The 13,702-nt window shown below is 45.0% G+C and overlaps 1 protein-coding gene and 1 long non-coding RNA gene across 17 annotated transcripts in view, besides 2 other annotated features; one reads left to right on the top strand and one right to left on the bottom strand.

Moving 5' to 3' along the window:
• The window catches only part of LOC124901432 (uncharacterized), a 62,877-nt gene extending 57,276 nt beyond the window's left edge, over positions 1-5,601 (top strand). Inside the window, exon 4 of the long non-coding RNA XR_007059813.1 lies at positions 5,315-5,601. This is a non-coding gene — a long non-coding RNA (uncharacterized LOC124901432). The remainder of the gene's footprint in view (positions 1-5,314) is intronic.
• Positions 1-13,702, bottom strand: part of MTHFD1L (methylenetetrahydrofolate dehydrogenase (NADP+ dependent) 1 like) — a 236,186-nt gene that overhangs the window by 8,193 nt on the left and 214,291 nt on the right. For all 16 annotated transcript variants that reach the window (NR_146719.2, NR_146720.2, NM_001242767.2 and 13 more), the window contains one exon: positions 1,108-1,228. Coding sequence is in view for 14 of the 16 variants with exons in the window: in NM_001242767.2 (NP_001229696.1) it covers positions 1,139-1,228 (90 nt within the window). In the remaining 2 variants the exon portion in view is untranslated. The remainder of the gene's footprint in view (positions 1-1,107; positions 1,229-13,702) is intronic.
• Positions 608-1,807: an enhancer, noted in NCBI's record as "MED14-independent group 3 enhancer chr6:151413024-151414223 (GRCh37/hg19 assembly coordinates)". NCBI's record gives its function as "activates an origin of replication core promoter dependent on BRD2, BRD4, P300/CBP and CDK7 cofactors, and independent of MED14, by STARR-seq in HCT116 cells {active_cell/tissue: HCT116}" and the evidence as "EXISTENCE:reporter gene assay evidence [ECO:0000049][PMID:35650434]".
• Positions 3,023-3,856: an enhancer, noted in NCBI's record as "OCT4-NANOG-H3K27ac-H3K4me1 hESC enhancer chr6:151410975-151411808 (GRCh37/hg19 assembly coordinates)". NCBI's record gives its function as "activates a minimal SCP1, AML or CMV promoter by ChIP-STARR-seq in primed H9 embryonic stem cells {active_cell/tissue: H9 hESC(primed)}" and the evidence as "EXISTENCE:reporter gene assay evidence [ECO:0000049][PMID:30033119]".

Genomic DNA, 13,702 nt, shown 5'->3' with positions numbered 1-13,702 from the left:
TAACCCTGAGCACCTGTGAGAGTGATTTTTTTTTTTTTAGAAGGAGAGTCTTGCTCTGTCGCCCAGGCTGGAGTGCAGTGGCGCAATCTCAGCTCACTGCAACCTCCGCCTCCCGGGTTCAAGCAATTCTCTGCCTCAGCCTCCCGAGTAGCTGGGATTACAGGTGCCCACCAACACGCCCAGCTAATTTTCGTATTTTTAGTAGAGACGGGGTTTCACCATCTTGGCCAGGCTGGTCTTGAACTCCTGACTTCGTGATCCACCCACCTCGGCCTCCCAAAGTGCTTGGCTGAGAGTGATCTTATTTGGAAGGAGGGTCTTTGCAGAGTAATCAAGTTAAAAGGAGGTTCTTAGGGTGGGCCCTAATCCAATAGGACTGGGGTCCTTATAAGAGGTGAACATCATGTGAAGACACAGACACAGGGAGAACGTGGTGGGACCACAGAGGCTGAGACGGGAGTGACGCAGCTGCAAGGTGGGAACGCCAGGGAGTGACAGCCACCACTGGATGCTAGGAAGAGGCCAGCAAGGATTCCACCCAGAGTCTCGAGGTGGCGTATGGCCTGGCTGACACCTTGACTTTGGACTTCTAGCCTCCAGAACTGTTTCAAACTTTCCACTGTTTTAAGCCACCCAGTTTGCGATACTTTGTCATGGCAGCCCCAGGAAACGGATACACCAAGATTCCTCTTTCACATGATTCTAGCTCTGTACCAAGAGATACGTGGCAGGAAGGTAGGAAGTTACTCTTTTAAAATTATAACAGACGCTGGTTTTAATCCTGGAAAAGAACAATGAGTTTACAGAGTTCTGTTATGGTCAGAGATGCTCTAAACACATCTATATTCAGGGATGACATAACTTGGCTTTCACTGGACTCGAGCGCAGGACACTAAGGGTTGTGTACTGAGCATCTGAGCATGTAACTCACAGCCACACCCAGGAGTGAACTCCAGTCACGGAAAATCATTTGGTAGGAATTTGAGTAACAAAGGAAGGAAAGGATTTATCAGATCACTTCTGTGGTATCAGAAAAAAAAAATGACAAAAAAAGGATATGAACTGGAAAAAAACAAAGAGAGAAAAAGTTGAAGCACATCAGCCTACCTGCATCGGGTCCTGTGAGAGCCTTGTCCACTTAGAACAAGCCTTTAACTTGTTCTGTTTCGGTATCAAGATCTATGTCATAAAAGCAGGGCCGGGTGGGCAGTCCTGGCATGGTGCTCATCTGGGGGAGAAAACCAAGCGTTACAGATTAGCAAATGCTACAAAGCGGCCACAACATCTGATGATGCAAATTAACTCTATCGTTCAATACAGCCTCATAGAACTTTAGGTTTTATATGGGATATATCTCTTTAAATTTGTCATCTGATATTTCAATTTTTGTTTAAGGAAATGAAGTAGAAAAGGCAAATGTCAACTTCCTGAAAATTGAGACCATTTACCTTCCCTGTGGCCCCATAACACACCCGAACTACAAAACAGTGATCTTCCAAACTCCAAACCTTTTCTTCTCAATAAAATCTTCATGCTGAACGCCAACAAAGACAAGCCCATCAGGTTGAAGGGGGCAGCAGGTGTGGGCAGGGTGAATAATGGCCTCCTTCTCACCCCCAAGACACATTTTTGTAAAACCTATAGCTCCTGGAGCACAGCTGGAAAACTCCTGTTCAGATGCCAGTCGTCACCCCGGTCTCCCTCAATAACAGTAACTGATATCTACTGAGAGCTTGCTTTGTGATGGGCACTGTGCTACGTGCTTTCCTCATTTTATCCTCTCAATAATATAGCAGGTAGGAACTTTTATTATTTCCATTTTACAAGGGAAGAAACTGAGGTTTGGAGAGGCTAAGTCACTTGCCCAGGTCACACTAGTAAAAAGTTGCAAAACCAGAAATTTGACTTTAGGCCTATAATCTCAAATTACTCATTTCACCACTACCATACCGCCACAGCCACCCCTACGACTGCTTTTGTGACACTTAATGGACAGTCTAAGGGTTTTACAGAAATAATCTCATTGAGCTTCCCAGCACCCTAATGAGGTAGGTACTCATTTTAGCCTTACTTTACGGATGAGGACAGAGGACACTTAGGCATGAGGGTATGAGCTCAAGGACACATGGCTAGTTAGTGGTGGAGACAGGATGAAAACTGGTTCTTCACCGCCTTGCTGTGTTGGGATGAAAGATCTTCAAACCGCACACTCTCCTCCTGCATCAGAAGCCCCCTGTGTGCTGGGGCTTCTGATGCTGGCCCCCTTGACGGATCCTCAGGCCCTGAAACACTGCTCCAGGGTCTAGATCCTGGGGCTCCCGGATGACCCATTCCTTTTCCATTTCAGCATTTCCTACTGTGCTTTAATAGTGAGTGTTTCATACAAACCATGCCCATGGAGCAATATGCACCCAGTCACATGGAGCAATGCTGCACCCAGTCGCATGGAACGATGCTGCACCCAGTCACATGGGGCAATGCTGCACCCAGTCGCATGGAACGATGCTGCACCCAGTCGCATGGAACGATGCTGCACCCAGTCACATGGGGCGATGCTGCACCCAGTCACATAGAACGATGCTGTACCCAGTCGCATGGAACGATGCTGCACCCAGTCGCATGGAACGATGCTGCACCCAGTCGCATGGGGCGATGCTGCACCCAGTCGCATGGAACGATGCTGCACCCAGTCGCATGGAACGATGCTGCACCCAGTCGCATGGGGCGATGCTGCACCCAGTCGCATGGAACGATGCTGCACCCAGTCGCATGGAACGATGCTGCACCCAGTCGCATGGGGCAATGCTGCACCCAGTCGCATGGGGCGATGCTGCACCCAGTCACATGGAGCGATGCTGCACCCAGTCGCTTGGAGGAGACATTCAGGTTCTACTGTGCCTGCTCTCCCGAGGGTTAATGCCATATCATGTAGAACCTCCACAGGCCCTGGCCAAGAACACCTTGCATGAGATGAGGCTGCGATGTGCCAGCACCTGATGGCATCCAGGGTTTGCCTGCTTCTTCCCATGTGGCAAAAAGTTCTCAGTGTAAAAGGGACCTCCCTAAGGCCTAGAGAATAGAACTCAGCTCTCACCCTCCACTGCCTTTCAGTCGTGACTCGAGGTTTCCCTCTTCACCAGCCTCTCCTCCCTGCATGGTGTTTAGAGACTCCTGTTACTCAAATGGGGCCTGTGGGCCTGTGCATGGGCATTACCTGGGAGCCTGTTAGATATTCGGAATTTCAGAGCCCACCCCAGACCTGCTGCATTTGAATCTGCAACTGGAGCAAGTCCCCAGGGGGTTCTGATGTGAACTGCACAATGTGGCCTCAGCCCCCAACAGCTCCAGCCACCCTTCCTCACTTCACTGCCCAGCCCCTTCAGCACAGGGAAAGGGAGACTGGGGGTGGGGAGAGGGAGAGAAGGAATGGTGAGAGCGAAGGGGAGGGAAAAGCCGGTTTAACCCCTGCAGATGCAGCAGGTGGGGAGTAAATCTGTGCACCTGCAGGCCTCATTAACACCCCCTTCCCTGCCTAGCTGGGCCAACTGAGAGTGGGAGTGGGGAGGCTGGGGGAACACATAAAACATTGTGATGGATGATGGCTGGTTCTTGTCTTGCTAATTGCACATGACTGCACTTCAGGTATATAAATGGGCTAAAAAGGCTTCCACAGCTGCCTGGAATACAGCTGCCGTTCATAACACGCCTATGGGAAAATCCATTCCGGGTTCCAGGCAATAAACTGCAACTACACTTTTGACATAAGACCTGCTTGTAGGTGGGGACTTGCTATATGTTAAAACTTTAGGTATGAAGATGGGTATCACAGCCTCGGAAGTTAAGGTTCCCAGCAGGAAGGTAACATTTTCCTCTGGTTACTACAGTGAGTGCATACAATGGGGGAGACCCCAGAAAGAAAACCACACTTATACTGTTCTACTACTTGAAACATCAAACACAAGGGTAACTGGTGGACACATATTTTTTTCCAGTTGCCTAGGTTACAACTCATACCAGGTAATTTTCCTGCCTAACTGCATTTTGAGATGGCATTTGCCGGCATCTTATGGCATTTATAGGAGGTTTTTGTTTTTGAGACAGAGTCTCACTCTCACCCAGGCTGGAGTGCAGTGGCACGATCTCGGCTCACTGCAATCTCCACCTCCCGGGTTCAAGCGATTCTCCTGCTTCGGCCTCCCGAGTAGCTGGGATTATAGGCACCTGCCACCATGCCCGGCTAATTTTTTGTATTTTTGGTAGAGACAGGGTTTGACCATGTTGGCTAGGCTGGTCTCAAACTCCTGACCTCAAGTGATCCACCCGCCTCAGCCTCCCAAAGTGCTGGGATTACAGGCGTGAGCCACTGCACCCAGCTATAGAAGGCTTTTTAAGATGCCTCTATAATCTGTGCCTAGCTATGGATTTGGAAAAGAACAAGCATTTTATAGTTTAAGAAAAAGAAATGAATATTCACATTTAGCCACACTGATGCTGCCCCACCCCTGAAATGAACTCTCTAGGTCAAAGGTATCTTACTGGTAAGGATGTCACTGGACTCTATGGCTGCTGCTGCTTCTGAGACTGTGACATGATTCACAGCAAGGGCAGAATTCAGTACAGATGAGGCAGTGTAAATTCAAATCTCTACTCACGGTGACAAACCAAGAAGAACCCTGAAGGCAGTGTATTTCAGCTCGTCTGACCAAAGCTACCAATGGAAGACTCTACTGCAGATAACATAATTTACTGCATGCTTGTTTACACGCACTATCTTTACAAACAAGAAAACCCAATTCTCCGCCTTTAACTATCTGCTGATGAAAGGCGATGCAGGATTTGTGCGGTTCCTGGAGCTGTATTTGTTAGCTGCAGTGGATCGGAACATGAATCTTCTAGTCATTCTGATTCTTTCACAAAACCAGGATCTAAACCTGGCCAGGCCGGGCGCAGTGGCTCATGCCTGTAATCCCAGCATTTTGGGAGGCCGAGGCGGGCGGATCACTTGAAGTCAGCCTGGCCAACATGGCGAAACTCTGTCTCTTCTACAAATACAAAAAAAAAAAAAAAAAAATTAGCTGGGTGTGGTAATGAGCACCCGTCGTTTTAGCTACTTGGGAGGCCGAGGAAGGAGAATCGTTTGAACTCGGGAGGCAGAGGTTGCAGTGAGCCGAGAGTGCACCAATGCACTCCAGCCTGGGCAACAGAGAGAGAATCTGTCTCAAAAAAGAAACAAACAAACAAAAACTAGCCGAAATATTAAATGCCAGAAAGTGTGAAATGTCTTTCCTCTTGTTTCAACTTTTCTTTCTTTCAGATGGGAGAAAAATGAGTTCAATCAGTAGACTCCCATGACCCCTTCAAGTGACGCAATCATCTCTTCCAAGAAGTGCAGCTACTTATTTGGGATAAGCGACGACAGACGAGAAACCACAAAGAATCTGCAGACGCGAGACTCCCTGACCTGCAGATATACAGCCATCTCCAATAAGTCTACATTTAAACTAAAACTTCTCCTGTTGAGCAAGCATAATGTGGAATTATGTTAGCAAGACCTTATGCATTCCCACAAATTTTCTCCCAATAAAAAAAACTGTTATCAAAGGATTGTCACCCCCCCAGACATACAGCACTGCAGGGAAAAAGGAGCCCAGACAGCCGTTGGGAGTTGACCTCTGGCCGCACGCCTGGGGTCAGTGGAGATCTATGTTGACTTTATCTGTGTGCCCTTTAAGGAGGCCTCTTGCTTAAAATAACTAAGGAGCCACTAAATTACACTTACTTGTAATGCTGCATTAATGGATTCTTCTACAAAGGCTGAAATACCTGGGCTTTTGCCCTTCATGACCCTAATTTTAACTACAATGAAGCTTCTGAATCTCTACCCATTTCGGGTTAACTCCATTTTGGAGAAAGAATGAGTTCTATCAATAGCCTTTATGAGCATTAATTAAAAATCTGTACAGAGAGAATAGTCATATATTTAAAACTAGTCATTAAGAAATAAAAGAATATCCTTGGTATAAGCTGAAAAATTATTAAAGATTCTGTTTCATAAAGTGATAGAATCATAATTTCTAACCATAATTTTCTTAACCAAAATATCGTTGTACTTAGTTTTGTTGTGTTTCTGAAATAATTTATTTTCTGATTTTGCCTGAAATCTACTACCTTTTCCAACAACAACCACAACAACAAAAATCTAATTTTATTTTGGTTCAGAAAAGGAGCAGCATTTTTACACATATCTATTTTGTTCCTACAGTTCATGATCTGAAGCAGAAGACAGTCCTTCTACATATTTCTTTCCTTCTCTGATGGATGGCTGATATACAGCGTGTTGTTTCAAAAATTTAAAAATAACTGAAAAGATTATACCAGTTAACTACATCACAATTTTATTATTTATTTATTTATTTATTTATTTATTTATTTATTTATTTATTTTTGAGATGGCCTCTGGCTCTGTCGCCCAGGCTGGACTGCAGCAGCGTGATCTCAGCTCACTGCAGCCTCCGCCTCGTGGGTTCAAGCAATTCTCCTGTCTCAGCCTCCCAAATAGCTGGGATTACAGGTGCCCGCCGCCATGCCTGGCTAATTTTTGTATTTTTGGTAGAGACAAGGTTTCACCACGGTGGCCAGACTAGTCTTGAACTCCTGACTCAAATGATTCGTCTGCCTCGGCCTCCCAAAGTGCTGGGATTATAGGGGTGAGCAATTGCGCCTGGCTGACGATACAATTTAAATAAAAAGATTTTCTTTTCAATGAAGTAACTAAAAAAATTCAAGTCTTTATTTATTAAGCAGGAGTATTTTCTGAATTGTTAACACGGTGCCTGGCAATATTAGACCCTCAGAAAGTATTTTTGGTCAGGCATGGTGGTTCACGCCTGTAATCCTGACACTTTGAGAGGCTCAGGTAGGAGGATGGATTGAGCCCAGGAGTTCAAGACCAGCCTGGGCAATATGGCAAAGCCCCATCTCTACAAAAAACAAACAAAAATTAGCCAGGTGTGGTGGTGCACAATTGTGGTCCCAGTTACTTAGGGGGCTGAGGTGGGAGGATCTCTTGAGCCCAGGAGGTCGAGGCTACAGTAAGCCATGTGCACCACTGTACTCCAGCCTGAGCAACAGAGCCAGACCCTGTCTCAAAAAAATAATTAATATTTAAAAAAACAGATGAGTAAAGATGGAGGACAATTACAAAATGGGAAACAAACAACAAAAATTGCTCAGAAATTAGGCCTTTTCTTTCTGTCTCTTCCCTTTTCTTTGGATGTGAGGGACGGAATTGTTTATATCAAATGGCCATGTTGATAATTATACAAATGTAACTCTAAGATGATGCACGAGGATAAATGGCCCAGTATCAATGTCAAGTGACCGAGGGGAAAGGAGAGAGAGAGAGAGATGAGGGGAGAGAGAGACACACACTATATAATGAAAATAGATTGTGCTGCTACAGTTGCAATTTCTATTTGCTTGACTTAGTAGAGATGGACTCTCCTGGGATTTCTTTGGGGTAGCTGGGAACCTGCACCGCTGTAACTACATTCCTGGTCGGCAGGGATGCTCTGGGGTTGATGGTGTGTGCTCTTAGAGTATACTTCTCTCTCATGGTGGCTGATCAACCCTACAGCGTGGACTCTCTTGAGTGCCTGTTACTGTACCAAAGGACCGAAACGGTGAAGTTCATTCGACTCAGCAACCTTTGCTAAGAGCTTACTACAAGGACACCCAGGTGACCAGGACCCAGTCCCTGCTAAGAGCTTACTACCAGGACACCCAGGTGACCAGGACCCAGTCCCTGCTAAGAGCTTACTACAAGGACACCAGGTGACCAAGACCTGGTCCCTGCTTGTAGAGGGGCAGACTACACAAAGCAGACCCTTGGGACATTCAGGTCAAAGTCATTGTTTTTTTTTTTGAGACAGAGTCTCGCTCTGTCGCCCAGGCTGAAGTGTAGTAGCACAATCTCTGCTCACTGCAACCTCTGCCTCCTGGCCTCAAGTGATTCTCCTGCTTCAGCCTCCCGAGTAGCTGGGATTACAGGCACCCACCACCATGGCCAGGTAATTTTTGAATTTTTAGTAGAGATGGGGTTTTGCCATGTTGGCCAGGCTGGTCTCAAACTCCTGACCTCAGGTGATCCACCCGCCTCGGCTTCCCAAAGTGCTGGGATTACAGGCGTGAGACAACGCGCCCGGCCAAAAAATGTTTTGCTTTCTTTACTTTTCACTTCAAAAGAACGAACAGAATAAATTCCTAACTTATGACTTTCTAAGACGTAAGTCATGTTCAATTACTATAAAAATTACCACACTGTGTTTGCATATTGTGACAGTACTACAGAGCTCAAGCTATGCCAATTATTTCAGTGGCCTTGAATGACTGAACAAGTACAATTATTTCTCTTCTTTTGTAAAGAAGACTATAAAGTTTTTTAATGGTAGAAAGCCTGTTCCTGATTAAATTTCTATTCGTTTTTAAAAATTTACTTAAAATATTTTCAACATAGAAGAAAAAAGTCCTCCACTTCTAATACTGCTTCCAGAGGTAACCTCTGCAAATAATTTTTATGTAATTATTAAATTACATAAATAAAAATTACTCACAGGTAATTTTTGATTCCTATATAAACAATGTGCTTATCTAATGTGTGTGTGTGTGTATATACATATATAAATATATACATATATATATATATATATATTTTTTTTTTTTTTTCTTTGAGATGGAGTCTCACTCTGTCACCCAGGCTGGAGTGCAGTGGCGCGATCTCGGCTCACTGCAAGCTCCACCTCCCGGGTTCAAGCGATTCTCCTGCCTCAGCCTCCCGAGTAGCTGGGACTACAGGCACCCGCCACCACGCCTGGCTAATTTTTTGTATTTTTAGTAGAGACGGGGTTTCACCGTGTGTTAGCCAGGATGGTCTCGATCTCCTGACCTCGTGATCTGCCCGCCTCGGCCTCCCAAAGTGCTGGGATTACAGGCATGAGCCACCACGCCCGGCCCGTCTAATATATATTTCTATAGTTATATACAGAAATTGAATAGTTCTACATGCACAGTTCTGGAGTTTGACTTTTAGAAAGATTAATATTTAAAATCAGTAATTAGGCCAGGCACAGTGGCCCACACTCGCAATCCCCACACTTTGGGAAGCCGAGGTGGGAGGATCGCTTGGGGCCAGGAGTTCAAGACCACCCTGGGCAACATAGAAAGACCCTGCCTGTACTTAGAAAGCTTCCCCCAGCCCCGACCCCAGGTATTACATTACTTCCATTTCATTCTTCATGTTTTCAGACAACGTCCTGCTCCGGTGCCCGGAAGACACGCGTGCCAGGCTTGGCTGAGTCCTGCAGCCCCAGCCATTTCTCTCCACGGTCATTCTCAGGCTTGCTGACCCATGTGAGCAGTTCCGGGCCAAATATCCACATCTCGTGTGATCCAGTGTAAGACAGAATGTCTTCTTTGGTAGCACCTTTTTCTTTTGTCTTGATTCTTTTATTTATCTATTTTCAAAGTAATAAATTGGTGCCCTGGCAACTCCAACAGTGACACTTCTGAGGGAGGCATTTAACATGTAGAAAATGTAGCTATAGATGTAGCCAGGCTCAAGGAAGGTTTCTGAGGAAGTGAATTTCTTGTATTTCGGGACCTCATTTATAACTTGTGTTTGTTAAGTTCTGACCATACTCCAGGCGCCATGCTAAGCACGTTGTATGCACCATATCTCATTTAATCCCAAGAACCCTGTGAGGTCAGGGTTATTGTTATTTACATTATCCCCATTTTGCTGATTAGAAAAATGAGAGATTTCCAAAATGATACAAATACAGTAACTACTCGAGCTTTTTTCTTAAAAATAACAGGCTTGCTACTCTTTCATGGCCAGCTAGAATACACAGATTTTTTGTACCTATCTGAAAAGTGTAAATGGTCACCATTATGCAATGAAGTAACCAATTTAGTCAAAGTAACATATTTAGTCAAAAATTAAAAAAAAATCAATCATAGTTATGTCAGAAATGTGCTTTGGTAACTCTCTAGTGGGTTGGCAAAATCCAATACAGACAATTGTGAAACAATGCCACTATTGATCAAGTAGCTGGTTTCTCTGTCACTTATATGCTTCATTTTTATTCATTACCAGAAAGATAAAAGAAAGGCCATGACTACAAGGGTATAAACTTATTTGTGGCCGGGCGCTGTGGCTCACGCCTGTAATCCCAGCACTTTGAGAGGCCGAGGTGGGCAGATCACGAGGTCAAGAAATCGAGACCATCCTGGCCAACATGGTGAAACTCCATCTCTACTAAAAATACACAAATTAGCTGGGCATGGTGGCAGGTGCCTGTAATCTCAGCTACTCGGGAGGTTGAGGCAGGAGAATCGCTTGAACCTGGGAGGCAGAGGTTGCAGTGAGCCGAGATGGCACCACTGCACTCCAGCCTGGGTGACAAGAGTGAGACTTCGTCTCAAAAAGAAAAAAAAAAAAATTGCATTTCATTCTTCGTATTTGGAGAACGATGGAGATTCTTCCCTGCCTTTCCTTATTTCACTGTAATGATCACACCTGAGCCTTTCAACAACACTATGAGACAAGTGAGTCGGGAGAGACTTGCCCATTCCCATCTACAGGTGCAGAAACAGCCTCCAGGCAGTCATGTGAGTTTCCCTGAGCCCATTAGGAAGGAGAACTGCAAGTGCAAAGGTTCTACTGGGGACCCAAAGTCTGAGGGGTAATGGGAACCAGATCAAGACTTTCAGGTGTGGGGCAAAGCATTATCGGGAGACAGGGGACTCTACCCTATACGAATTGCATCTTGCTGGGTGAGTTACTTCGCTCAGCCTTCACTTCTTTTGTTTTGTTTTTTTTGATTGTGATTGTCAAAGGTCAGCCCTCGTTCTTTATCTATAACTACAGCATGAGTATAACAATATATTATGGAGTCATTTCAAAATTCAAATGAGATGAAGGACCCTAGTTTAGAGTTTAATACACAGTACCCATTGTTGTTATTTTATTATAGAATTGATAATTGCCTGGATTAAAGGAGAGTTGTAAATTATTTAAGATAGAAATAGGAAAAGATAGCTTAAACCAAAAAAAAAATCTTCTATATCTAATTATGTATTTATTTTATGGGAAAAAAGGTTTCATTAGTATTATGAGATTGTTCCCTAATTTTTCTGGGTCTACAATTTTACAAGTCACGCTTTCTGTAGTTCTTATTTATGGCAATCAAATGTTAAGCTAAACCAATAGCCAAGACCTAAAGTATTTAAATGAACAGGGGTAGCTTGATTGAGGTCAGATAAGGCTGTAAGAGAGAAAGTTTCAGAAGCGTGACTATAAACTCAAAACAGGTGTGATTCTAAATGGCCCTTCAGTCCTTAGGAGATGAAAGACTACCAACTCTTGTGCAGCCCAAGAAGATGCTGGGAAGAGCTGAAGCACAAATTCCATTCCTCATGTGTCATATTCCCACCTAGAGTTTTTGCGACATACTCATTCATCAGCCGTTTGACCGACAGGTAGCACACCATGAAAATCTCCACTACGTGTGGAAAACAAATCAATTTAATAATATATTTTATTGTTTGGAAACTCAAAATTAAGTAATTAAATTCTGGTTTCTGAGAAGCTCATCCCTTGAAAATCAACTGTGATGTTGTGGGCTGGGTTTTATGTCAAGGTCCTACTGGCAAGGAAATCATCATTCGGTAGTCCCTTTAAGGAGAAGCTGGAGGAGATGGGAAGAGGAGGAAGCAGGAAGGAAGGGGTGGGGAGGATGGACAGTGCTTTCACTCAGCCGATCTGGTCTTTCTCTTCAAGCAGCTTGTTATCAAAGGCGCAGCTGCCTAGACCTTGCTTGCTGTGCCATGTCATTTAGCATTTCCCTTTTGCTTTCACCTCTCTCCCTCACAACTAGACCCTTGCCCCTCCGACCCTGGGAAAGCTCCTGCCCAGAGATAATAAGCTGTGTAGTAGAAAAACATAAGACAGGGAAATCATTATTATTTTTGAGACAGTCTCTGTCACCCAGGCTGGGGTGCAGTGGCAAGATCTCAGCTCACTGCAACCTCTGCCTCCCAGGTTCAAGTAATTCTCCTGCCTCAGCCTCCCAAGTAGCTGGGATTACTGGCGTGTGCCACCATGCCTGGCTATTTTTTTTTTTTTTTTTTTTTTTTTGCATTTTTAGTAGAGGCAGCGTTTCACCATGTTGGCCAGCCTGGTCTGGAACTCCTGACCTCAGGTGATCTGCGCACCGCAGCCTCCCAAAGTGCTGGAATTACAGGTGTGAGCCACTGCGCCCAGCCCAAGTCAGGAAAATTACATCCATCATTTAAACTTCCCCTTTATGGTTTTCTTGGGACAGTGGCAAAGGAAGAGTTTGGAGAAGGGGGAGTCACCTCATCAGTGCTCATCACTACCCTGAAACTCGGCTGGCCAAGACTGGCTGAAGTAGGAAAGAATTCAGGACTACCCTGTGACGTAATTAAACTATTTTAAATACCAGAGGCCTATATTGTTCTGTAATGTTTCTTAGGTGATCCACTCCAGATACCAGCTGAATGCTCAGGACTTCAGACTGGGTCTAGAAGTGGCTTACTGTATATAATGGACTGAACTGCATCCCCTCAAAACCCCTATATTGACATCCTAATCCCCCAATACGACTACATTTGGAGACAGGAAGTCGAGGCTGTAGGGAGCCATGATCGTGCCACTGCACTCCATCCTGGGTGACAGAGCAAGACCCCATCTCAAAACAAACACAAAAAACAACCCAAAAAGGTCATAAGCATGGGGCCCTAATCCAATAGGACTGAGTGTCCTTAAAAGAAGAGGAAGAGGTCACAGGGATGTTTGTGTACAGAGAAGACGACATACAGGGAAGACAGCTGTCTGCAAGCCAAGAAGAGAGGCCTCAGCAGAAACCAGCCCTGCCAGCACCCTGATCTTGGACTTCCCGCCTCCAGAACTGTGAGAAAATAAAATAAACTTCTGTTGTTGAAGCCACCCAGTCTATGGTCTTTTGTTACGGCAGCCCTAGCAGACTAATACACTTACTTATGTGGACATTTCCTTTCTTCTATGTATGTTTTCCTCCTGCTTTAGCACCTTCAATTCCTGGACCGAAAGACTCCTAACTATGCTACTTGCAAAGGCTTCTATACACAGAACACTCTTTTTCTAACTGCAAGGGCAGAGGCAGACAACAATGAAAGGACCAGGTGGGCACAGCTGTCCCTCCTCCTCTGCCCTCTCCTGGGTTTCTCCTCCATCCTCTCACTGGCTGCCCTGATACCCGCAACACTGCTGGGACTCCGCAGCTGCCCTTCTTCCTCTGGATTATGCCACAAGTATAAGTGGGAGAAAAAAACGTGGACCAAAAGTCCTCAAATCGTTCACAAATCACTTCTCTTTCGGTTTCTCATAAGCACATACACAGTATATTAAAAATACAGAGAAACACTATGAGACCAATAGGATTATTTTTTTCTTTTTTGGGCCAGAGTCTCACTCCGTCATCCAGGCTGGAGTGCAATGGCGCAATCTCGGCTCACTGAAATCTCCACCTCCCAGGTTCAAGCAATTCTCCTGCCTCAGCCTCCCGAGTGGCTGGGATTTATGGATGTGCACTACCACGCCCAGCTATTTTTTTTGTATTTTAAGTAGAGACGGGGTTTCACC

This window comes from Homo sapiens, chromosome 6 (assembly GCF_000001405.40).
Source record: "Homo sapiens chromosome 6, GRCh38.p14 Primary Assembly".
Classification (NCBI taxonomy): domain Eukaryota; kingdom Metazoa; phylum Chordata; class Mammalia; order Primates; family Hominidae; genus Homo; species Homo sapiens.
The sequence above is the reverse complement of the archived record's forward strand: the minus strand, read 5'-3'. Positions and strand labels throughout refer to the sequence as shown.